The following is a 24,982-nucleotide window of genomic DNA, read 5'->3' as shown; positions in this document are numbered from 1 at the left end:
GGACAACATAGGGAGACCCAATCTCTAAAAAAAAAAAAATTATTTTTAATTTAAAAATTAGTTGGGCGTGGTGGCATGTGCCTGTGGTCCCAGCTGCTCAGGAGGCTGAGGTGGGAGAATCCCTTAAACCTGAGAGATCAAGGCTGCAGTGAGCTGTGATGGAGCCACTGCATGCCAGCCTGGGCAACAGAGCGAGACCCTGTCTCAAAAAACAAAGCAAACAAAAAAAACAATGCCAGCTGCCCACATTACTGGGTGGAGCTATCTGAACCTTTACTAGTTCAGAGTGGTGCCTGATTCATGAGTCATTTCTTTGCTTGAATAAATGGTTAAATTTAATTTGTCTAAGGTTTTTCTTTTTAATAGCAGTAAACACTGCTCAGGTGCCACAACTGACATCCTTAACTGCAAACCTAAGTCCTTCAGGAGAGGTCATGCCTATCATTAAACTCCATGTGCCTTGCCCACCCCCTGTCCCCTGTCCCTTCAGCTCACCTTCCATATGTTGAGGGGATGAGCCTCCTAAAGTAACCGAATCTGCTTTTTTTTTTTTTTTTTTTTTTTTGAGACAGAGACTTACTCTGTCGCCCAGGCTGGAGTGCAGTGGCATGATCTCGGCTCACTACAACCTCTGTCTCCCGAGTTCAAGCGATTCTCCCACCTCAGCCTCCTGAGGAGCTGGGATTACAGGTACCCGCCATCATGCCCAGCTAATTTTTGTATTTTTGTAGAGACGGGGTTTCACCATGTTGGCCAGGCTGGTCTTGAACTCCTGACCTCAGGTGATCCACCCGCCTCGGCCTCCCAAAGTGGTGGGATTACAGGCATGAGCCACTGCACCCAGCCTGAATCTGCTTCTTAAGCTCACAAACTTCTCTGCTGGTTCCACTTTGGGGAATTACAAGGAATTACATTCCTTGGCTTGGCAAAGACCATTTCCAGACTGGTGCCAACATGTTCCTCCAGTCTATCTCAAAACCCTTCCCTGCATGAACACCAAGTTCTCTGCAGCTAGGCTGAGGGGTTTGCTCTTCTCTTCACATGCTCTGCATACATTGTAGTGGTCTCCAGCCCATTTCCCTTGGCAAACTCCTATGCGGTCATCAAGACTCATTAGGACTGGCGCAGTGGCTCACGCCTGTAATCCCAGCACTTTGGGAGGCCAAGGCGAGCAGATCATGAGGTCAAGAGATTGAGACCATCCTGGCCAACACAGTGAAACCCCGTCTCTACTAAAAATACAAAAATTAGCTGGGCGTGGTGGCGGGCACCTGTAGTCCCAGCTATTCAGGATGCTGAGGCAGGAGAATTGCTTGAACCCGGGAGGCGGAGGTGGCAGTGAGCTGAGATCACGCCACTGCACTCCAGCCTAGCGACAGAGTGAGACTCAGTCTCAAAAAAAAAAAAAAAAAGACTCATTACAAATGACACACTATTGTGGGTCTCCCTTAGTCCTCCCCAGACAGAATGGTTCTACTGTCCTGTGCTTCCGCTGTATCTCTTGCAGATAACAGTGAGAGGCCCTGAATTTCACACCACACCAGGGACAGGATCTTGAGCCATTCCATTTGAAATGTTAAGGGAAATGGTAACTCTCTGAGGTTGGTGGTCTTGGGGCCACCCAAGGAACCTGGCATCCAGGTTACAGGTGTGTGGCCTCGACTGTGTCCCTGGCCTTTGGGTGCCCACTCCCCACCCCCACCACCATGCTCTGAGGGAAGGGCCTGAGCCATTGGCACCAGCTGAGACTGTGAAATAGAAGAGGCAAAGTAGAAGCAAGGGAGGTGGCCACTGTGCCCTGAGAGCAGGAGGGGCAAGCGGGCCACACACAGACCAAGCACACGTCCCCTCAGGTGGCCACGCCTCAAAGGCTGGACTTTGGCCGACTTGGACAGGCAGGTGAGCCAGGCTGTGCCCAGCAAGCCGAAGGTGCCTGGGCTTGCTCATTCAGTCACAGTCACAGCCACCATGCCAGGGAGGACCTGGGAGCTGTGCCTGCTACTGCTGCTGGGGCTGGGACTGGGGTCCCAGGAGGCCCTACCCCCACCCTGTGAGAGGTAGGGGTGTGGGGAAGGCAGCAGGGGAGGATGGCAATAAGAGGGAGGCTGGGATGAGATCTCAAGCTCTGGGGTCGGTACTTCAGAGGGAAAGGAAGAGATTATAAAGGAAGGAAAGAGTAGGGAAGAGAAGAAAATGAGAATTCCTATGTAGCAGGCTCTGTGCTGGGCACTGCACCTGCAGTCCGTTTTTTTTGTTGTTGTTGTTAGAGTCTTGCTCGGTCGTCCAGATGGAGTACAGTGGCACCATCTCCACTCACTGCAGCCTAGACCTCCCGGGTTCGAGAGATTCTCGTGCCTCAGCCTCCTGAGTAGCTGGAATCACAGGCATGCACCACCACGCCCAGCCTGTCATTGATTTTTACCAAAATTTTCCACCGTTGGAAGGGACATTAGGCTTGGCGACTGTGCTGGGAATACAAGCGTGAGCCACCGCCCCCTGTCGGGACCTGCAGTCCTGATACCAGACGCAGCTGCCAGAGCCTGGCCTGAGGTCCAAGAGCCTGCTGGCCAGAGCCCGCCCTCCCTTCCTCTCCTCCTCCAAGCTGCCCCTTGAACTGTGCAGGCCTCTTCTCAGGATTGTTCTAGCAAACTTTCTGCTCCAGCTTCCTAGTCTGGGTGTGAGAGGCAGCCTAAGGGCCTGAAGACAGCACTTGGGCTTGAGCCCTGACCCTCATATTCTCTCTGTGACCCAGGGCAGGTCAAGGCTCTTTCCTGAGCCTGAGTTTCCATCACCAGGGACAGAGATGAGTGACCCTGTCCTGTCTCCTGGACTCAGGCGATGTCCACCCTTCGTTCCACATGGATTTATGGAGCTGTGGCCACATCAGCCACTTTACCAGCTCCTGCAAGAACAATAATAATAGAAGAAAAACAGCTGGGCACGGTGGCTCATGCCTGTAATCCCAGCACTTTGGGAGGCCAAGGTGGGAGCTATCATCTGAGGTCAGGAGTTCGAGACCAGCCTGGCCAACATGGTGAAACCCCATCTCTATGAAAAATACAAAATTAGCCGGGCATGGTGGCGCACGCCTGTAATCCCAGCTACTCGGGAGGCTGAGGCAGGAGAGTCGCTTGAACTTGGGATGTGGAGGTTGCAGTGAGCCAAGATCATGCCATTGCACTCCAGTCGGGGCAACAAGAGCAAAACTCTATCTCAAATAATAATAATAATAATAATAGAAGCAAAACAGTAACAGAAGCACAGTTTGAAGTAGAGAGAAGTTAGGGCCCGCTGGTGTGGGTGAGCAGAGGGTGTGTTAGAGAGGATGGGGAGGGACGGTGTCTCTGAGGAGGTGATGTGTAAGCAGAATTGTGGCAGGAACCATTGCTGAGCTGATCTGGGAGAGGACAGTCCAGGCATGGAAAGGGCCATGCAGAGGCCCTGACGCACTGTTCAGGGATTGGGACGAAGGCCTGTGTGATTGGGGCAGAGTGGGAACAGGTCCGGGGAGAGCGGGGCTCCAGGCAACAAGGTTTGGGCTTGGGTTCCAGTGGTTAGACTAGAGACAGAGACAAGGGGTTCAATAGAGGGTGTGTGTTACAGGGAGAGTTGACAGTGCTTGCCCATGACAATTGTGGAATATAAAGGGGAAAAGTGTACCTGGGATAATTAATAGGTTTTGTCCTGAGCAATTGTAATGAGGACTTCAGAGAGGCTGGGTGGTCCAGTGCTTTGTCAAGCATTAGGCTGTTTGCCAAATGTAGGGGAAGATGACTTTACTGGTGTTCCCTAAGACCAACCTCAGGCCAGTGATTCACTAACACTTCCAAATGGTTATACCATGATTATGGTTTCATTTTTTTTCTTTTTTTGAGACAGAGTCTCGCTCTGTCGCCAGGTTGGAGTGCAGTGGTGCAATCTCGGCTCGCTGCAACCTCCACCTTCTGGGTTCAAGCGATTCTCCTGCCTCAGCCTCCCCAGTAGCTGGGACTACAGGCACCTGCCACCACGCCCAGCTAATTTTTGTATTTTTAGTAGAGACAGAGGTGTTGCCATGTTGGCAAGAATGGTCTCAATCTCTTGTCCTTGTGATCCGCCTGCCTCAGCCTCCCAAAGTGCTGGGATTACAGGCATGAACCACCGTGCCCAGCCTTGATTATGGTTTCTTACAGTGAAAAGATACATGTTAAAGCCATCAAAGGTGAAATATTCTAGGGCCAAGTCCAGGAGAAAATAATCTCAATCTTCCAGTTTTTCCTCTCCCAGTGGATTTATATGGACAGGACTTGATTTTTCCAGCAATAACATGTGACAGCACGCATGAAGTATTGCCAATCACAAAAGCTCACCTGAGTCTTGGTGTCCAGTGTTTTTATTGGAGGTCAGTGATGAAAGCGTGGACTACCTGTGTGGCTGACCTCAGTTACTCACTCTCCAGAGTTCAAACTGATACTGGGCGGCCAAAGGCCCCTGCCACAAATCACATTATTAGCATCAAATATCTGGCATGGCCCAAGGCCCCAGAAAAACAAAGACTTATCAGGCAGCATATTTTGGTAATTTAAATCTCATCTCTCAGGGCTGGTCACAGGCCAGAATTTTCTCTGAAATGTGCAGGGTTTGAACACAGCAGACCTGCTGAGTCAATCCTTTCATGTATAAGCCACTTCTTGTATAATGAGGAATTAGTTTCATTTTTGTCTTGGGTTCCTCCAAAGTAACCTCTAAGCTCCTTGGAATCTCCCAAGTGATAGGAATGTCTGTTATTAATAGTGGTCCCTGATTAGTGTTTTTTTGTTGTTGTTTTTTTCTTTCTTTTTTTTTTTGAGACAGCAATCTAGCTCTGTTGCCCAGGCTGGCAGTGCAGTGGTGAGCATTTTGGCTCAATGCAACCTCTGCCCCCAGGGTTCAAGTGATTCTCCTGCCTCAGCCTCCCAAGTAGCTGGGACTATAGGCACGCACCACCACGCCTGGCTAATTTTTGTATTTTTAGTAGAGACGGGGTTTCACCATGTTGGCCAGCTGGTCTTAAACTCCTGACCTCAAGCAATCCACCCACCTTGGCCTCCCAAAGTGCTGGGATTACAGGCATGAGTCACTGCACCTGGCCTGATTGCTTTTTGAGACAGGGTCTCACTCTGTCACCCAGGCTGGAGTGCAGTGGTGCAGTCATGGCTCACTGCAGCCTCAATCTCTCTGGGCTTAGGTGATCCTCCCACCTTGGCCTCCTGAATAGCTAGGACTAGGTGTGTGCCACCATGCCTGGCTAATTTTTGTATTTTTTGTAGAGATGGGGTTTTGCCATGTTTCCCAGGCTCTTGGTAGCTTTTGTTAATGAGGTGACTTATGGTGGGTCCCTAGACAGCTTCTGCTAACAAGACGACTCCACATGAAGGCAGGCCGTGCCAGAAAGGCCAAGCATGTGTGTAGAGGGTTGGGGTTTTGGTCCACATGATATCAGCCCAACTTCTCAACCTTCAGGGAGGAGAAGGGGCTGGAGATGGAGTTCAATTACATGATCAATGATTCAATCAATCATGCGTATGTCATGAAACCCCAATAAAAACTCTGGACTTCAAAGTCCTGGTAAGTAGGCTGGGCACAGTGGCTCATGCCTGTAATCCCAACACTTTGGGAGGCCGAGGTGGATGGATCACTTGAGGCCAGGCATTTGAGAGCAGCCTGGCCAACATGGTGAAACCCTGTCTCTACCAAAAATGCCAAAAATTAGCAGGGTGTGGTGGTGCATGCCTGTAATCCCAGCTATTGAGGAGGCTAAGACGTGAGAATCATTGACCTGGGAGGTGGAGGTTGCAGTGAGTTGAGATTGCACCACTGCACTCCAGCCTAGGTGACAGAGTGAGACCCTGTCTCAACAAACAAACAAATAAAACAAATAAATACCAAGTCCTGGTTGGTGAACACATTGATGAGCCAGGAGGGGAAACGTCCTGGTTCCATGGGGAAAGGACACAGAAGCTCTACATTCAGGGCCCCCCTAGACCTTGCCCCATGCACCCCTTCATTTGGCTGATCCTGGCTTGTATTCTTATAATAAAACTATAGCCCTAAGCATAACCGTAAGCTTTTCTGAGTCCTGTGAGTTGTTCTAGCAAATTATCAAATCTGAAAGGGTTATGGGAACCCCTACATTTGTAGCCACTTGGTAATAAGTGCAGGTGGCCTGGGGACCCCTGAACTTGTGGCTGGTGTCAGAAGTGAGGCCGTCTCACTCAGGACCGTGCCCTTAACCTGAGTGTGGATTCTGCACTAACTCCCGATGGTTAGTGCCAGGATTAAATTGCAGTATTGCAGTTGGTGTCAGAAAATGTGGATTTACTAGAATGACCCTGACTCACTGAAACATATGGGTTGGGAAAAGAAAAGTTGAAAGGGCAGGGGATGAGAAACCTTTCATTCTCGAGTGGATACAGGGTCACCCATGGTGTGAAGAGCAGTCATGCTGCAATCAGTTACTGGAGGTAAAAGTTACCAATGGAAATTAGAGGTGATTGATCACTAACTTTTGGGGAGTTGACTCATGTGCATAGGGAAATGTATACTAAGAAGAAGAAAAGCAAATATACAATCCCTATAGACTTTTATCTCTAATAGCCAAACTGAAAGTAAAAGATGGGCCATGCTTAGATTCTGGTCAGTGGAATTACAACCTCCAGTCCTGCACTGTGGTACCAAAAACACCTGCTGAAGTCCTGATGGGCACTGCAATGAGATTGAGAGAATATAAAAATGCAGCCAGGTGCAGTGGCTCACGCCTGTAATCCCAGCACTTTGGGAGGCAGAGGTGGGTGGATCATCTGAGATCAGGAGTTCAAGACCAGCCTGACCAACATGGAGAAACCCTGTCTCTACTAAAAATACAAAATTAGCCGGGTGTGGTGGTGCGCACCTGTAATCCCATCTACTCAGGAGGCTGAGGCAGGAGAATCACTTGAACCCAGGAGGTGGAGGTTGCAGTGAGCTGAGATCTCGCCATTGCACTCCAGCTTGGGCAACAAGAGCGAAACTCCATCTCAAAAACAAAACAAAACAAAACAAAAAAGTGGTATGCGCTTGAACAGGTTTTATGTGGAGTGGTTGCATCTCTTCTACCTGAATGTATTACAGGGATGGATATTGTATCTGACCAGGAAATATTTCCACTACCTAGTATTGTAAAACAGAAGGTATGGAAATCCACTCATCAAGCAATATTGATTAGACATTCCAAATGGGAACCAATAAGATTGCCCAAGTCCACAGAGATTGTTAGCCTTCTCTGGAGCATAGACTGGACTTTATAGCAAAAGTCTTAGAGCACCTCCTGGCACGAGTGCTGAGACTTTGGACTAGATAATTTCCATGTGAGAGGTAATTATTAGCTTGCTATCAGACATTATTTGAAATTGCCCCTATGACTGAAGGATGTAAGATAATCTTGAAACCTGAAATACCTATAATATCTTGGGGAAATGCTCACAGAGAGTGGGCAGGGCCCAGAAGAGTTCCATAATGAAATGGAAATGGCTGGATCAGGAACAAGCTCCTGGGGGAATGCAGTTACTCAGTGTATTCAAAAGCAGAGAGACTCTTTTCCCCTAGGACTGACTTTGGACCCACTCAAAGAGTTGTTAGATTCTATTGCCAATTGGACAGTGCCCTATTGACAGCTCTCGATTGACCAACAAAGCTGTTTGGCTTATGGATGGCAGTCCCAAGGTGAATGAACAGCCTATTGTTTGGAAGGTTGTTACTCTGATCAAAGAAGGCAAAAACAAATCAGCTCTGTGGGTTGAATTGCATACTGTTTAGGTTTTTACTAACTCTTGGACAGTGGCCAATGGCCTGGCCATATGGTCAGGCGGAAGGACAATGGGAACCTTGTCTATATGGAAATCACAACAGGAATTTTAGGAGTGCATTAAAGCAGGTTATGTTGATGTCCATCAGAAGGACCCCTTTCCAGGATCAAAAGGAACTGGGGCAACAAGCAGACATCCCTGCGTGCTCACCTGAGGTGGCCACGTGTGTTCATGAAATAAATGGACATTGCAGGGCAGCAGCCATGCAGAGAAGAGCTGAATTTAGACTTAGTCCTGTTTTCCCGCTGAGGCACAAAATGCCAGTAAGTACTTTTCTGTCTGCCAAAAAGAGAAAGACCGCACATGGCTGTGGGAAGATGACCTTGGAGGGAAGGCCCTGCACATACCTGGCAAGGTGGACTGATGCTGGTAGGCCTGGAGGGCTACCTGGGTCCTGACAAGAGTAGACACTGATTCTGGACTGGGCTTTGCATGGCCAGTGGTAGATGCAAATGCTCAAAATACTGACACTGTAAAAGGGTCAGAACAAAAGATACTCCACCAATTTGAACCACTGAGTTACATTTCTTCAGATCAAGAAACACTTTCATCTTCAGAGGAGTGGTTCAATAGAGAACTGGGATGGGCAGTTGAAGCATGTGCTATCTAAAACAGCAGGGAATAAGGGTATGAAGGTATGAAAGGCTGGCTTACATGCCTTCACAAGTATGTGCTCACACTCAACGCAAGGGGGCTCAAGGGTTTGTCCCTATTAGATAGATTCTTCTGCTTTTCTGGAAGTTAAAGGGAAGAGGGGCTGGGAGACAATGACTAACAATTCTTCCAATGTGGTATGACTATACCATTTTCTTTTTTCCCTACATTAAACTTTCTTTTTCCCAGCTGATTCAGTGGTTCCAGTAAATCCCAGTGGTCCCAGGACTGCAGATACATAGGATAAGAGTAGTTTACACACCACAGTTCTAGTGTTATTATATTCTGTGTTTTTTCTGTGTGCTTACTATTACCAGTGAGTTTTGTACCTTCAGGTGATTTCTTTTTTTTTTTTTTTTTTTTTTTGAGATGGAGTCTCGCTCTGTCAACCCAGGCTGGAGTGCAGTGGCGTGCGATCTCAGCTTACTACAACCTCCATTTCCTGGGTTCAAGCAATTCTCATGCCTCAGCCTCCAGAGTAGCTGTGATTACAGGCATGCACCACCACGCCCAGCTAATTTTTCGTATTTTTAGTAGAGATGGGGTTTCTCCATGTTGGCCAGGCTGGTCTTGAACTCAGGACCTCAAGTAATCTGCCTGCCTCAGCCTCCCAAAGTGCTGGGATTATAGGCATGAGCCACTGAGCCCAGCGATCATTAACTTTTTTTTTCTTTTTTTTTCTGAGACAGTGTCTCACTCTGTTGCCCAGGCTGGAGTGCAGGGGCGAGATCTCAGCTCACTGCAACCTCCACCTCCCCGGTTCAAGCGATTCCCCCACCTCAGCCTCCTCAGTACCTGGGACTACAAGTGCGTGCCACCACACCCGGCTAATTTTTTTGTATTTTTTGGTAGAGACAGGATTTCACCATGTTGGTCAGGTTGGTCTCGAACTCCTCAAGTGATCATCCCGCCTCGGCCTCCCAAAGTGCTGGGATTACAGGCGTGAGCCACCATGCCCGGCCCAGGTGGTTTCTTATTGCATGTTAACATCCTATTCTTTCTGATCGAAGTATACTCTTCAGTATTTCTTGTAGGACTGGTCTGGTATTGATGAAATCCCTCAGCTTTTGTTTGTCTGGGAAAGTCTTTATTTCTCCTTCATGGTTGAAGGATATTTTCACCAGATATACTATTCAAGGGTAAAAGTTTTTTTTTCCTTCAGCACTTTAAATATGTTAAGCCATTCTCTTCTGGATTGTAAGATTTCCACTGAGAAGTCTGCTGCCAGACTTCTCACCAGTTTGAACCACTGAGCTCCATTGTATATTATTTGTTTCATTTCTCTTGCTGCTTTTAGGATCCTTTCTTTGTCCTTGACTTTTAGTTTGATTATTAAATGCCTTGAGGTAGTCTTTGGGTTAAATCTGCTTGGTGTTCTATAACCTTCTTGTTCTTGGATATTGATGTCTTTCTCTAGGTTTGGGAAGTTCTCTGTTATTATCCCTTTGAATAAACTTTCTGTCCCTATCTCTTTCTCTACCTCCTCTTTAAGTACAATAAGTCTTAGATTTGCCATTTTGAGGCATTTTGATTGTATTTTCTAGATCCTGTAGGCATGCTTCTTTGTTTTTTATTTTCTCTTGTCTCCTGATTGTGTATTTTCAAATAGCCTGTCTTCAAGCTCACTAATTCTTTCTTCTGCTTGATCAATTCGGCTGTTAAAGGACTCCGATGCATTCTTCAGTATGCCAATTGCATTTTTCAGCTCTAGGGTTTCAGCTTGATTCTTTTCAATTATTTTAATCTCTTTGTTACATTTATCTGCTAGAATTCTGAATTAGGACTGCAGATACAAATGCAAGAAGCAGGAATTATTCCTAAGCAAAAAAATATAACTATATTCTTAAACTTTTATGTGAAAATTCCTAAGGGTCTGATGGGGCAGGTTGTGCCTTCACCTTATCTAGCAAAAATGGGGCTAACAATAAACACAAATATATTGCCTACTGCTCAAGATAGCTTACTAGTTCTGTACCTATGTAAGCCTGCCCTATATGAATGGGAGTGGACTGAAGGAGAAGCATTTACAAGACAAGTGTTTCTACCTACAATCTGGATAAATACAGTGGCCTAACCCAATGTCCTTTCCAAAGGTGGAAAAGTTTGGGTATAAATGGAGAGAAAGAGGTGTAGTAGCTGGGAATAAATGAATGAATCCATGCATTAATAAGAAATGCAATGAGGGAAGTCCACTATTACATTAATGCTTAGAAAGAAGATCAGAGAAAAAGATGATACCGCCTCTTCATTCAATTATACTTGACGCCTGAAAGGGTAAAGCCATATTTTGCCAAGACCACTCCTGCTCTGGAAGCTGACAGGATCAAAGGGGAACCTGCCAGCCTGAGTGGCCTTATCCTGGGAGACATTTTGTCATATGATCTGGTGATGAACTGGACTAATTATTAATGACAATGGGACTCTAGTAATGTGTGAACATCTTTTGACTCTTATTTTTCAGGTTACTTCTACCATAATAAAGCACTGGCATTGTTGGCAAGATTATAATTCTAATATTGAGGGTCACATGTATTGGGGAATTGAGCTAAAAGCTCCTATCTCTACTTCCACATTAGCTCCTCTAAATTTTCGGCATATTCATGTTGATATTATCTCTTTGTCTGTTATAAAAATGCTATCCCAAATGCAGTTGCTCAGGAAAGCATAATTGTTTTGCTACAAGGGATCTACGGGTAAAGGCTAGGGACTGGACTGTTGTATAATAGAGTTTGTCTGTTCTTTGACCCAGGTTGCTGGGTAGTAACTTCTAAGCTCTTGGAATTTCCCAAATGATAGGTGTGTCTTTGGTATTCATGGTGAGGCTCTAGATGGATTATACTAACTAGCTGACTCAGGACGAGGACTGGACATGCCAGAAAGACCAAACTGTGTGTTTGGAGAGGTGGGGCTTTGAGCCAAGTGATATCAGCCTGACCTCCCAATCTCTGGGTAGGGGAGTGGAACTGGAAATTGATTTCTTTTTTTAAATAAAAAGTAATACCTTACATTTATTTAATATTTAAGACATTTGAAGCCCCTCACTTAATCTTTTGTTTTGTTTTGTTCTTTTTTTTTAATTTTTGGAGGTACATAGTAGGTATATATATTTATGAATTACATGAGATATTTTGATACAGGCATGCAATGGGTAATAATGACATCAGGGTACATGGGGTGTCCACCACCTCAAGCATTTATCCTTTGTGTTACAAACAATCTGATTATACTCTTTTAGTTATTTTTAAATGTACAATTAAATTATTTTTGACTACAGTCACCTGTTGTGCTAGCAAATACTAGGTCTTATGCATTATTTCCATTTTTTTGTACCATTAACCATCCCCACCTCCCTGCGACTCCTGCCACTATACCACTACCCTTTCTAGCCTCTCCTAATCGTCATTCTACTCTCTATCTCCATGAGTTCAATTGTTTTAATTTTAAGCTCCCACAAATAAGTGAGAACATATGAAGTTTGTCTTTCTGCGTCTGGCTTATTTCACTTAATATAATGACCTCCAGTTCCATCCATGTTCTTGCAAATGGCAGGATCTCATTCCTTTTTATGGCTGAATAGTACTCCATTGTGGATATGTACCACATTTTCTTTATCCATTCATCAGTCGATGGACACTTAGGTTGCTTCCAAATCTTGGCTATTGTCCATAGTGCTGCAATAAACATGGGAGTGCAGATATCTCTTCAATACATTGATTCTTTTCTTTTGGTCATATATCTAGCAATGGAATTTCTGGATCATATGGTAGCTCTATTTTTAGTTTTTTGAGGAAACTTCAAACAGTTCTCCATAGTGGTTGTACTAATTTACATTCCCACCAACAGTGTATGAGGGTTTCCTTTTCTTCACATCCTCACCAGCATTTGTTATGACCTGGCTTTTGGATAAAAGCCATTTTAATAGGGATGAAATGCTATCTCATTGTAGTTTTGATTTGCATTTCTCTGATGATCAATTATATTGAGCACCTTTTCATTTGCTTGTTTGCCATTTGTATGTCTTCTTTTTTACTTCTTTTCTTACTTAAGGGAATGTATGTCTGCTTTTGAGTAATGTCTATTCAGTTCTTTTGCCCATATTTAATTGGATTGTTAGTTTTTTTAATAGAGTTTTATGAGCTCCTTATTTATTCATTCCGAGATGGAGTCTTGCTCTGTCACCCAGGCTGGAGCACAGTGGCGCAACCTCTGCCTCCCAGGTTCATGCAATTCTCCTGCCTCAGCCTCCCGAGTAGCTGGGACTACAGGCATGCACCACCACGCCTGGCTAATTTTTGTATTTTTAGTAGAGATGGGGTTTCACCATGTTGGTCAGGCTGGTCTCGAACTCCTAACCTCAAGTGATCCGCCTGCCTTGGCCTCCCAAAGTGCTGGGATTACAGGCATGAGCCACTGCGCCCAGCCCATATGAACATTTGAACATTTTAACAATATTGATTCTTCCAATCCATAAATAATGAACATGGAAAATCTTTTTTTTTTTTTTTTTTTTTTTTTTTTGAGACAGAGTCTCACCCTGTTGCCCAGGCTGGAGTACGGCAGCACAATCACGGCTCTGCAACCTCTGCCTGCCTGGGCTCAAGCGATCCTGCCACCTCAGCCTCCCAAGCAACATGGTGCATGCCACCACGCCCAGCTAATTTTTTCATTTTTTTTGTAGAGACAGGGTTTTGCCACCATGCCTAGCCAAGGTTTGCTAGTGTTTTGTTGAGGATTTTTGCATCAATATTCATTGGTGATACTGGCCCATAGTTTTATTTTTTTTTTTTGATGTGTCTTCATCCTGGTTTTGGTATCAGGGTAATACTGGCTTTGTAGGAAGAGTTTGGAAGTATTCCCTCCTCCTCTAATATGTCTTTTTCTCTAAATGCTTCTCCTTGTTAAAAGTAAATTTGTAGGCTGGGTGCGGTGGCTCACGCCTGTAATCCCAACACTTTAGGAGGTCGAGGCAGCTGGATCATCTGAGGTCAGAAGGTTCAAGACCAGCCTGGCCAACATGGCGAAACCCTGTCTCTACTAAAATACAAAAATTAGCTGGGTGTGGTGGTACACGCCTGTAATCCCAGCAACTTGGGAGGCTGAGGCATGAGAATTGCTTGAACCAGGGAGGTGGAGGTTGCAGTGAGCTGAGATGGAGCCACTGCACTCCAGCCTGGGCGACAGAATGAGACTCAGTCTCAAAAAAAAAAAATTTGTTAGGGATAAAAGACTTTAAGGTGATAAAAATAGGATTAATAAATTCAGCTTGTTCCATGATGGGGGAACTTATCTCCCTTAGAGCCTTTTCTATCTCATGGGCCAATGTTTATTCCACCATGTATGCTGTTGCCATTTTGTATTAAAGGCCTGAGTGCTGTTAGCATACATGTTTTGTACCCAGAATTTGTGAGTTCCCCATAGTAGGGTTCGATGAGTGGACATCACACCTAGGTGTAATTAGTTTGAGTATGCCATAAGGCCTCCCATAGCCTTCCTTGTCTCAGTATGGGGCTGTTCCCCAGGAGAATTTGGACAAATCATGGGATGTCTACTGCTTTAATACTATAAGAAACCCATTTGGGCTGGGCATGCTGGCCCACATCACAGTAATCTCAACACTTTGGGAGGCCAAGCCGGGAGGATCACTTGAAGCCAGGAGGATCACTTGAACCCAGGAGTTCAAGACCAGCCTGGGCAACATATTGAGACCCTGTCTCTACAAAAAAAATAGAAAAAATTAGCTGGATATGCTGGCATATGCCTGTAGTCCCAGCTACTCAGGAGGCTGAGGTGGGAGGATTACCTGGGCCTGGGAGATTGAGGTTGCAGTGAGCTGTGATTGCATCACTGCATTTCAGCCTGGGTGATAGAGCGAACCCTTGTCTAAAAAAAGAAAAAATAGGCTGGGTGCAGTGGCCCACACCTGTAATCCCAGCACTTTGGGAGGCTGAGACGGGCGGATCACCTGAGGTTGGGAGTTTGAGACCAGCCTGACCAACACAGAGAAACCCCATCTCTATTAAAAATACAAAATTAGCCGGGCGTGGTGGCACATGCCCGTAATCCCAGCTACTCGGGAGGCTGAGGCAGGAGAATTGCTTGAACCCAGGAGACAGAGGTTGCGGTGAGCTGAGATCATGCCATTGTACTCCAGCCTGGGCAACAAGAGCAAAACTCCGTCTAAAAAAAAATAAAAATAATAAAAAATAAAATAAAACTTTTTTCTATTCTGTTTAACAGCTTTTCATCCACGAAAACAAGGGTGATCTGCATTTGTGCATGGAGCTCATTGGGACAGGCTGGCCATGCTGCTGCTGTATTTCGCTCATTTTAACTGGAGACCTTTCTAAGCATTCAGTGATCAAGGTTTACAGTTACACAGTGATTAGTCTGCCATGAGTTGTAAATCACACAATCCAAAGGCCCCAAAAAGAGTAGTTCCTGGAAATTCCTTCCCAAATGGTATCCTTCGTAGTAGATGTAACCTGAAAATTAAGAGTCAAAAGTCTCTGGCGCATTGCTAGAGTTACATCCTGTTGTCAGCAATTAGTGCAGCTCATCATCATATCACATGACCAAATCTCAGAGCAGTGCCACTCAGGTTTGCAGGCTGCCATTTGACCTTGTCAGGGCCCAACAGCAGGAGTCGTCTTGGCAAATGCATGGCTTCCCCCTTTCAGGCATCTGGTATAATCGTGCTAAGAGACAATCTTATTCTCTTGTTTCGAGTCTCTCCAGACACCAATGTGATATTGGATTCCCCTCATTGTATAACCCATTTACTCATTCCTTTACCCTCAGCTACTATGTCTCTTCCTCACCATCTGTCATTTATTTATTTTTTTTTTTTGAGATGGAGTTTTACTCCATTGCCCAGGCTGCAGTGCAGCGGTGCAATACCGGCCCACTGCAACCTCCACTTCCTGGGTTCAAGCAATTCTCCTGCCTCAGACTCCCAAGTAGCTAGAATTACAGGCACCATCATGCCCAGCTAATTTTTGTATTTTTAGTAGAGACGGGGGTGTTGCCATGTTGGCCAGGATGGTCTTGATCTCCTGACCTCCTGATCCACCCGCCTTGGCCTTCCAAAGTGCTGGGATTACAGGCGTGAGCCACCGCGCCCGGCCTATCATTGATTTTTACCAAATTTTTCCACCTTTGTAAGGGACATTAGGCTTGGCCACTGTGCTGATCCACATTGCCAGCAGTAATAGTAGTGTTGCAGGTGCCTCGCCCTCAGTCTGCTCCCATGCATATAAGGAAGAGTTACAAAGGTGCGGAACTAGTGGGCTATCTTGACCACTAGGCAATACAGCTGCATTCACTAAGAAGCCAAATTTAGCCAGATGCTGTGAAGCCACAACACACCCCATCAGGCCCTTAGTAAATCTGGCATGAAGGTTTAAAGGTACAGTTGCAGTTTTTTCTTTTTTTGTTTTTTTTGAGACGGAGTCTCGCTCTGTTGCCCAGGCTGGAGTGCAGTGGCGTGATCTCGGCTCACTGCAAGCTCTGCCTCCCGGGTTCACGCCATCCTCCTGCCTCAGCCTCCTGAGCAGCTGGGACTACAGGCACCCGCCACCATGCCTGGCTAATTTTTTGTACTTTTTAGTAGAGACGGGGTTTCATCGTGTTAGCCAGGAAGGTCTCGTTCTCCTGACCTTGTGATCCGCCCTCCTCGGCCTCCCAAAGTGCTGGGATCACAGGCGTGAGCCACTGCACCCAGCCAGTTGCAGTTTTTTCTTTGAGAATTGTCCCTTCTTCTGACACCCACATTTGCAGTCCTAGTCGTGGGGCCACTGTATTGGGTAGGAAAAAAGTAGTTGAGATGATGTGGGAACAAATCATATAGTCATACCAACAACTCCGCCCTCCCTCTTCCCAGATCCCCCAGAAAAATTAGGGGAATCCAACCAATGGAGACCTCCCTTTGCTCCTCTCAAGCTGAATGTGAGCACACACTTTTTTTTTTTTTAAAGACACAGTCTTGCTTTTGTTGCCCAAGCTGGATTGCAGTGGCGTGATCTCGGTTCATTGCAACCTCCACCTCCTGGGTTCAAGTGATTCTCCTGCCTCAGCCTCCCAAGTAGCTGGGATCACAGGCACGTGCCACCACATCTGTCTAATTTTTGTATTTTTAGTGGAGATGGGGTTTCACCATATTGCCCAGGTTGGTCTCGAACTCCTGACCTCAAGTGATCCACCCACCTCAGCCTCCCAAAGTGCTGGGATTACAGGCATGAGCCACTGTGCCCGGCCAGAGCACACATTTTTGAAGGTATGTAAGCCACCCCTTCATGCTTTTATCTCCCTCCCCCACTGTAGACAGCAAATGTTTCGACTCTCTTTTCCAATTTTCTATCAAAGCGCTACTCTGAGGACGGTATGCAACACCGTATGTCCATTTGCTGTGGTATTGCTTGGCCCATTGTTGGACACTAGGTGCTGTCAGTTGTGTTCTTGGATCTGAAGAAATGTAACTTGGTGGTCCATATTGGTACAGCATCTTCTGTTCTAATATAGCATCTTGTAGTATTTTGCACATTTGCATCTACGACCTGATATGCAAAGCTACTTTAATGTGCCCCTTACCTTTCCATAGGGTTATGCCCCAGGTGGGCAACACTTTAATAGTTCAGTTTTTCACTGCCCATCTGCCAGGCCATTGGCTACTGCCCATAAGTCAGCAAAAACCCAAACACAGGGGCTTTTATCATTCGATTCTTCTATCACTGCAAGGAAAACAGCATGCAATTCAGTCCACTGAGGTGATTTGTTCTTACCTTCTTCAAAGATTTTCCATCCTCAGTCAGAGTGCAAAGGCCTTCCAAACAAGGTCTTTCTACCCATAAACCAAGCAGCTTTTTGTTGTTCAACCAAGAGCTGTTCATAGGGCCCCTTCTATGTGGCACTAGGATCCATCAGCTCCTCGGTGCTTCCAAAGTTGGCCCTAGGGGGAAAGAGGCTTCCTGCTCCTGAATACCATTAGCACCTCCTTGCATTCCCTGAGCAGCAGACTCCTGAATAAACCATTTCCATTTTATTCAGGAACTCTTCTGGGCACTGCCTTCGTTACAAAGTGTTCCTCTGACATCACCCAAGACATTATGGGTATTTCAGGTTTCAGGATTATTTTGTGTCCTGCCGTCATGGAGGCAGTTTCAGGAAACACCCAAGAGCCAGCTAGTAATTGTCTCTCAAATGGCCTATACCATACACCGCCTGGAAATGTTCTGGCCCAATCTCAGCCATCACCACTGAGTGCACCTCCCAGGTTTCTGCCATAAGCCCTTCCGATCGAGTCTACACAGGGCCATTGTACAGAGAATTGGCCACACCAGTATGATTAAAGTGCTAACCTCCCTTTGTCCACCAGCTATTCTACACCATCTCAAATTAGCAACCAGTGTGGGCTCAGGCAGTCGGACAGGTACTTTACTGCCCAAAGACCCTACTTGTTCCCTCAGCCCTGTATGTCACTCCAACCCACAAACTCCTAACACACACACACACACGCACGCACACACAGCCCTTGTCCAGTCCCAGGGAACATGCCTTGACCAGTCTACCACAGACTCTAGCCTTCTCTTCTGTCCTAATGGGGTGGTGGTGGTGACCTGACCTGCTCCTATCCCTGTCTCTGCAGTGAGATTTACTGCCACGGGGAGCTCCTAAACCAAGTTCAAATGGCCAAGCTCTACCAGGATGACAAGCAGTTTGTGGACATGCCACTGTCTATAGCTCCAGGTGAAGCACCTAGGGCTGAACGTCCTCTCCAGAGAACCTTCTCTCCAAAGAAGGCAGGGGGCAAGACCAAGTAGAGAGGCCCCTGTGATTAGGGAGTGGCTTGTGACACCCTGCTGACCCCTCCCTGCTGCCTGCTCTCCAGAACAAGTCCTGCAGACCTTCACTGAGCTGTCCAGGGACCACAATCACAGCATCCCCAGGGAGCAGCTGCAGGCGTTTGTCCACGAACACTTCCAGGCCAAGGGGCAGGAGCTGCAGCCCTGGACCCCTGCAGACTGGAAAGACAGGTATGACTCTGGAAGGGGAACAAGAGAGGGTTCCTTCCAACTGAGCTGCCTCCTTGAACCCTGTGGGGCCTGTGTTCTTTCAGCCCCCAGTTCCTGCAGAAGATTTCAGATGCCAAACTGCGTGCCTGGGCAGGGCAGCTGCATCAGCTCTGGAAGAAGCTGGGGAAGAAGGTATCAGCGTCCTGGGCCTGCCCAAGGCCTGACCAAGGGAACTGAAGAGAGGAATGTGCCTGGGGCCCACAGTGTCTTCGGAGCACAGATCAGGTTTCCTTTCCTGAGAAACCAGTCCCTGGCCCCTGGGTCCCCAAATAGAGGCCCTCTAGAAAGAACTTCTGAGGTCAGAAGGGCAGCATCTACTTCTAACATCTCGCCTCCTCCAGGAAGGCTCCCTAGCCTCCCCAGGAAACCCTAGCCTGCCCTGCCACCTCCAGGCTGCCCAGCACTGCCTCTGGCACCACTGGGTAGATGTTCACTGCCTGCTGGGCTCTCTCCTTCCCTGAGCTCCTGGGCCAGGCCTCCGTCTCAGGAGGAATCAGTGCTACTGCTGCGTGGGGCCAGGCCCTGTGTTCAGCCCTGTCCTGAGCTACTTTGCTCATCCACATCCCCTCACCTGGGGAAAGGGTTTGGGGTTTTATCCCCACCTGGCTCAGAGAATGGGGGTGATGGGCCAATCCTCTGGGCCCGGCTGGGTGGTGGCAGCAAGGATGGGGAGTAGAGCGGAAATGGGGGGCTGGCACCCCCCTCACCCACCCAGCCCACCCTGGGTCTTCGTAATGGCCACTGCTTGGTGGATACCTGCCCAGTGCCTGGCTCAGTGGTCGGGTCTTCTACCCGGCACCAAGTTGAGCTGGGACTCCCAAGGCCGGCAGGTGAGGGATGAGGACCCCAAGGCTCCCAGCGGCCAGGCCTTGATTACATGGCTGAGTAGCAGTGGAGCCAGCGCTGAACCCAACTGCCTGGCTCCAAAGCTGTGACTCCCGGGGCCTCAGATCCCCCAGCTGCCTGTAGCCTCTGCTTCCGTGGGGATTCTAGGCTCCCCTTGCCCTCTCTCCCGACTCCAGATGAAGCCAGAGGTTCTCAGCCACCCTGAGCGGTTCTCTCTCATCTACTCAGAACATCCCTTCATTGTGCCTGGCGGTCGCTTTGTTGAGTTCTACTACTGGTGAGCGCCCAGGCCCAAGAGACCAAGGGGCCTGCAGGACTGGCAGTGGTGGAGAAACCCAGGGCCAGCAGGGTGTCTTCAGCAGGGCAGAGTGCCCCACTGGCTGGTGTGCAGGGCAGAGGGAGGCAGCAGGGTGGTGCCTAAGCTGCCCCTTCCCCAGGGACTCCTACTGGGTCATGGAGGGTCTGCTCCTCTCAGAGATGGCTGAGACGGTGAAGGGCATGCTGCAGAACTTCTTGGACCTGGTGAAAACGTGAGGGGGGCCAGGCACCTCCAGCCTAGGTGGGGAGGAGAGGCAGGTGTGCCACGGGCATGCAGCTGGATTGCCTTGGTGCCAGTTGCTGGGGAGAGGGCATCTCAGCAGGCCTTCCCCTTGGCAGCTATGGGCATGTCCCCAATGGTGGGCGCGTGTACTACCTGCAGCGGAGCCAGCCCCCACTCTTGACCCTCATGATGGATTGCTACTTGACTCACACCAATGACACCGCCTTTCTACAGTGGGTACCACCCTCCCTGTGCTGCTCTGCAGACCCACCCATCCCTCAGACCTCTCAGGGCTGGGGATGGGCAGCACGCCTGGGCTGAGGTGTTGTCTGCTTCACTCCAGGGAAAACATTGAAACACTAGCCTTGGAATTGGACTTTTGGACCAAGAACAGGACTGTCTCTGTGAGCTTGGAGGGAAAGAACTACCTCCTGAATCGCTATTATGTCCCTTATGGGGGACCCAGGTGAGGAACTGGGCAGCCCACCCCTCAATCTCTTACCTGCTCACTCTGGTTAGAGCATCACAATGCCCCGGGCAGGAGGAGGAGTGACTTAGCCTGGCCTCTCAGATGGTGACACCGAGAGCCCTCTGCAATCCTGGGCTGTGGGGCCCAAGGGCAGCTGGATCAAGATGGCTCAGCCTCTTCTTGACCACAGAGGGGCTTAGTAGCTACTAGTGCCAGGCTGCCCACCTCTCCTCTTTGCCAGGCCTGAGTCCTACAGCAAAGATGTGGAGTTGGCTGACACCTTGCCAGAAGGTGAGCAGCAGGAGGGTGAGGGAGGGCTGGGGGCAGGGCAGCTGCACACCTGCTGTGTCAGGCTCTGGTCTCCTGTCAATGGCTGCCTATCCTGCAGCCGGGACTGGCTGGTTCCCTGCTCTGTCCTCACAGGAGACCGGGAGGCTCTGTGGGCTGAGCTCAAGGCTGGGGCTGAGTCTGGCTGGGACTTCTCTTCACGCTGGCTCATTGGAGGCCCAAACCCCAACTCGCTTAGCGGCATCCGAACAAGCAAACTGGTGCCTGTTGACCTGAATGCCTTCCTATGCCAAGCAGAGGAGCTGATGAGCAACTTCTATTCCAGGCTGGGTGAGCACCCCAGTAGGGAAGGGAAAGCAGGGAGCTTGGTTTCCTGCTCAGGCTTGGCAATAGAACTGGAAGTAGGACCCTTGTGTGACAGGCCTTCAGCAACTTAGCCTGTCGAGCCCCGCCCTAGTGGAAGCCTGCACTCACATTTGCGTACCAGACAAGAGAACAAACGGAGCCAACCCTAATCCTCTCTTCCTCCCTTTCTTACTGTGAGGGTCTCTAGGGTCTGTGAGGGGAACCCTAGTCCACGCATCCAAAATCCTTCCACTCCCTCTCCCTCAGACAGCTGCCCTTGACCCCCTAAGAGCTAGGGGAATCCACCCAGCCAGTACCCTTGGGAGGATAGACCCTGGAGACCCTGGGGACAGATCAGCTCCAGTGGTTCCCTGGGAGCAGTGCGGGGCCATAGGCCAGAAATGTGGTGGGCTCCAGATCGGCACATCCCCTTGGTCATCAGGGTGTCTCAGCCTTTGCAGAGAAACACAAAGCGGGGAGGCTAAAGTAGAACCACGAAAAAAGCCTGGGGCAGCAGGCAGGGCACTGGCTGCTGGCTCTAAAGGCAGCACTGCCCCAGGGAACGACTCCCAGGCCACGAAGTACAGAATCCTGCGGTCGCAGCGCTTGGCCGCCCTGAACACAGTCCTGTGGGATGAGCAGACCGGAGCCTGGTTCGATTACGACCTTGAGAAGAAGAAGAAAAACCGGGAGTTTTACCCATCCAACCTCACTCCACTCTGGGCCGGGTGTTTCTCTGACCCTGGCGTGGCGGACAAGGCTCTGAAATACCTGGAGGTGAGGGCACAGCAGGTGGCTCGGGTCCACTGCAGGCAGCACCGCCCCCTCCCGACCCTGAACAGGACCTGCAGGGGAGGGCGCTTCCTCCGGCTATGCCCCTTGTCCCAGCCTGCGGGTCCCACCAGAGCCACCGGGGGGCAGCTGTGAGCCGAGAAAAGAAGAGCCAGGAAGGGGACGTCTGGCTTCCCGCGGGGTCCAGCGTCCTGTCCTGGCTCCCAGTCCAGCCCCACCCACAGTCATGGGAATGTCTGGGACCTTCTAGGACAACCGGATCCTGACTTACCAGTATGGGATCCCGACCTCTCTCCAGAAGACAGGCCAGCAGTGGGATTTCCCCAATGCCTGGGCCCCCCTGCAGGACCTGGTCATCAGAGGTAGGGAGGCAGGGCTGACACAGCCAAGGACCCTTCCCAGGGTGTAGAGGTGGGCCTCCCTGGTGCTGGGGAGGCATGAACAAAAGACACAAGAGGCCCCGTATCCTTTCTCTCGCTCCTCTGCTCTCCTGGCCTCCACTTGACACTTATGTCCACCCAGCCTGTCCAGTGCAATCAGTCCTGTTCGCCCTTCAAACCAGGGCCGTCGATTAAGGGCAGTTTGGCCTGTGGTCTCAGGAAGGAAGTCTTAGGGCCCAGGCCTCTTTCCCTCCTTGGGGAGAGTAGGGTGCAGCCACTGCTCTGTCTGGGATGGGAGACCTGGAGGTTGAGTCCTGCCTGCAATGGGGTCTAGGCCTGGCCAAGGCACCTTTACGTCGGGCCCAGGAAGTGGCTTTCCAGCTGGCTCAGAATTGGATCCGAACCAATTTTGATGTCTACTCGCAGAAGTCAGCCATGTATGAGAAGGTGAGCTGGCCCAAGCCCTCCCTGCACCCCCAGGCTGTCCCAGTGGCCACTCCTGAGCACTGCAGGGGCTGCTGGGCAGGCAGAGCAGCTTCTCCCCAGGGGCTCTGGTTGTTTGTTGTTCCTGGAGCTGGGGGGCAGTACCTGACATACAGCCCACCCGCTTGTCCCCAGTATGACGTCAGCAACGGTGGACAGCCCGGTGGGGGAGGAGAATATGAAGTTCAGGTGAGCAGGCCAGGGGTGGGCTGGCCAACACCAGGGAACTCCTGAACTCTGCTGCTCATGACCCCCGCCCCAGGCCTCAGTGTGCTCACCTGCATGTGGGCCCGGGGGAGGAGCTGACTGGTGCTTCCTGTACCGCTGGGGTTAGGCAGGGCCAGTGCCCCTGGGGAGAGAGCCCACAGCCCCCACCAAGGGTATGAGGCTTCCCCAGAAACTGGCCCCACTGCCCTGCCTCTCCCAGGAGGGATTTGGCTGGACGAATGGCGTGGTCCTGATGCTGCTGGACCGCTATGGTGACCGGCTGACCTCAGGGGCCAAGCTGGCTTTCCTGGAGCCCCACTGCCTGGCGGCCACCCTTCTGCCCAGCCTCCTGCTCAGCCTCCTGCCATGGTGACAGCCCTCCTCTCCTCACCTGGCCCCAGCTCCTGCCCCATTAAACCTCTGCACCAGTTCCTGCCTTCCCCTGCCTCTTCATGCCCTCCTACCTCCCAGCCTGTCCTCAGAGCGAAGTGGAGGGCAGGGTCACGACCTGGAGGTCATGGGTAGGGGCCTAGCTCCCTCCTGGAACCTTGAATAGGGTGGAAATCCTGCTCTGGAGGGAAGACCTATCCCCAAGTGCCTCAGCGCCAAGCCCCACACCGGCCTTCCACTCACTTCCGTAGTCCAAAGGCTTTATTGTTCTGCTGAAATGCTTACAAATACTGAAAACCCCCAGCCTGGGCCCAGGCAACCAAGGGCTCAATGCTGGGAAGGAGAGCAGGGGAGGTGGGCTTAGTGTTAAGGCGTGAAGGGCGAGGCCAGACAGCTGGAGGCCTGGTCCTCCACTCTCCATTTCCATCACCCTTCGGAGGCTGAAGGAAGGGCGGCGGCACCACAGGGCCCTTCCCCTCTGCTGCATCATCTCCTGCTCAGGCTTTCTCTCTAGGAGCATTGGAGGAATCCTCTTTCCCTGTCGGAAACTCAACACTGTACAGAACTCCAACCATAACCCTTCTAGCTTCCTCTCCCAACTGCATCGCTCCTCCTCTGTTCCATAGATCCCCCGGCTTCATCCCTTCTGGCTCTAAGCAAGGCACCAGTGGAAGGGAGAGGGCTGGACTGGGGGGCTGGCAGCCTGTGCATCAGGGCTGAAGACACAGGCAGGGGGAAGGAAAAAGGTATTCAGTCCCTTCCCCCCAGCATGAGATGCCCAGGGGCCTGGGCTGGAGAGATGATGGCACGTACCCTCAGATGGCCCACAGCTGAAGCAGTGGGCTGGGCCACAGAGCTGCAGCAATTAGTATGTAACCATGGCAATGAAGCAGTCACTATGGTAACCATGGTGATGAGTCTGCAACTAGGGGATGGAGCTGGGACCTCAAGGTTGACACTTGAGATCTCTGGCCCTTGAGCAAGGTAATAAAAAGTATAAGGGAAAGGAGAACAATGGGGCAGAGCGGGGTTTGAGAAATGGGAAGCGGGCCGCCTGAGCTATTACCCCACTCTGGATGTGGCTCTGCTCAGCCCCCAAAGCCCCTGGCAAAGGGGTCTGAGGCAGGAGGGGATCTTTGGCAGCTTATGGTACCATAATTTGTCTTTTAGAAAAGAGAAAACAGGCTGGGGAGAGCAGGTGTCAGGTCAGAGCTGAGGCCCTCTCTGTGACAGCTCCTCAGCCCTGGCTGGGCCTGGGGCAGGACCCTAAAGGGTTACTGCAAGTTCTGGGCTCCCAGGAGGCAGCAAAGCCACCTCTACTTTTCTTCTTCTGGCTGGTTCTTCAGGAGGCCAGAGCCCAGAAACTCACAGGACCAAGCTCCTTACAGAATATTAAAGTCTTCTTATACAAAAGCCCCAGTTGTGCTCTGCCAGGAGGCCCACGGCAGTTAGTTCATGAACTGAGTGTAGCCCTCAGCCCCTGTGACAATGACATCCATCCAGATACGCATGGCCTCTGCAGATGGGGCCACCATGTAGTACAGCCGGTCATGGGTCTTTACGCAGAAGGTGAGGGCTGGGTTCGGGCTCTGCCAAAGGAAGAGAGGAAGGTCTAAGATGGGGCTCACCCATGCCCAGGAATATTCTCACCTGCCTCC

General features: G+C 49.8%; 2 protein-coding genes across 50 annotated transcripts in view, besides 5 other annotated features; one reads left to right on the top strand and one right to left on the bottom strand.

Annotated features, from left to right (window-relative positions):
* Positions 1,395-2,054: an enhancer, noted in NCBI's record as "H3K4me1 hESC enhancer chr11:118550251-118550910 (GRCh37/hg19 assembly coordinates)". NCBI's record gives its function as "activates a minimal SCP1, AML or CMV promoter by ChIP-STARR-seq in naive H9 embryonic stem cells {active_cell/tissue: H9 hESC(naive)}" and the evidence as "EXISTENCE:reporter gene assay evidence [ECO:0000049][PMID:30033119]".
* TREH (trehalase) lies at positions 1,946-24,280 on the top strand. Of its 2 annotated transcripts, NM_007180.3 has the most exons (15): positions 1,946-2,057; positions 18,157-18,257; positions 18,400-18,544; positions 18,628-18,715; positions 19,606-19,706; positions 19,867-19,959; positions 20,087-20,203; positions 20,314-20,436; positions 20,681-20,730; positions 20,863-21,057; positions 21,632-21,849; positions 22,115-22,226; positions 22,579-22,691; positions 22,863-22,916; positions 23,155-24,280. In NM_007180.3, exons 1-15 carry the CDS (start codon positions 1,969-1,971, stop codon positions 23,305-23,307), a joined length of 1,752 nt encoding a protein of 583 aa, NP_009111.2. In that variant the 5' UTR covers positions 1,946-1,968; the 3' UTR covers positions 23,308-24,280. The 2 variants fall into 2 exon arrangements, with proteins under 2 accessions (NP_009111.2, NP_001287994.1); NM_001301065.2 differs by lacking the exon at positions 19,867-19,959.
* Positions 2,055-2,716: an enhancer, noted in NCBI's record as "H3K4me1 hESC enhancer chr11:118549589-118550250 (GRCh37/hg19 assembly coordinates)". NCBI's record gives its function as "activates a minimal SCP1, AML or CMV promoter by ChIP-STARR-seq in naive H9 embryonic stem cells {active_cell/tissue: H9 hESC(naive)}" and the evidence as "EXISTENCE:reporter gene assay evidence [ECO:0000049][PMID:30033119]".
* Positions 22,065-22,614: an enhancer, noted in NCBI's record as "H3K4me1 hESC enhancer chr11:118529691-118530240 (GRCh37/hg19 assembly coordinates)". NCBI's record gives its function as "activates a minimal SCP1, AML or CMV promoter by ChIP-STARR-seq in naive H9 embryonic stem cells {active_cell/tissue: H9 hESC(naive)}" and the evidence as "EXISTENCE:reporter gene assay evidence [ECO:0000049][PMID:30033119]".
* Positions 22,615-23,164: an enhancer, noted in NCBI's record as "H3K4me1 hESC enhancer chr11:118529141-118529690 (GRCh37/hg19 assembly coordinates)". NCBI's record gives its function as "activates a minimal SCP1, AML or CMV promoter by ChIP-STARR-seq in naive H9 embryonic stem cells {active_cell/tissue: H9 hESC(naive)}" and the evidence as "EXISTENCE:reporter gene assay evidence [ECO:0000049][PMID:30033119]".
* Positions 22,662-22,956: an enhancer, noted in NCBI's record as "tiled region #11464; K562 Activating non-DNase unmatched - State 8:EnhW". NCBI's record gives its function as "activates a minimal TATA promoter and a strong SV40 promoter by Sharpr-MPRA in K562 cells {active_cell/tissue: K562}" and the evidence as "EXISTENCE:reporter gene assay evidence [ECO:0000049][PMID:27701403]".
* PHLDB1 (pleckstrin homology like domain family B member 1) overlaps positions 23,568-24,982 on the bottom strand; it is a 51,593-nt gene continuing 50,178 nt past the window's right edge. For all 48 annotated transcript variants that reach the window (XR_947813.3, NM_015157.4, XM_011542709.3 and 45 more), the window contains one exon: positions 23,568-24,913. Coding sequence is in view for 47 of the 48 variants with exons in the window: in NM_015157.4 (NP_055972.1) it covers positions 24,773-24,913 (141 nt within the window). In the remaining variant the exon portion in view is untranslated. The remainder of the gene's footprint in view (positions 24,914-24,982) is intronic.

This window comes from Homo sapiens, chromosome 11, assembly GCF_000001405.40.
Source record: "Homo sapiens chromosome 11, GRCh38.p14 Primary Assembly".
Lineage (NCBI taxonomy): Eukaryota > Metazoa > Chordata > Mammalia > Primates > Hominidae > Homo > Homo sapiens.
The sequence above is the reverse complement of the archived record's forward strand: the minus strand, read 5'-3'. Positions and strand labels throughout refer to the sequence as shown.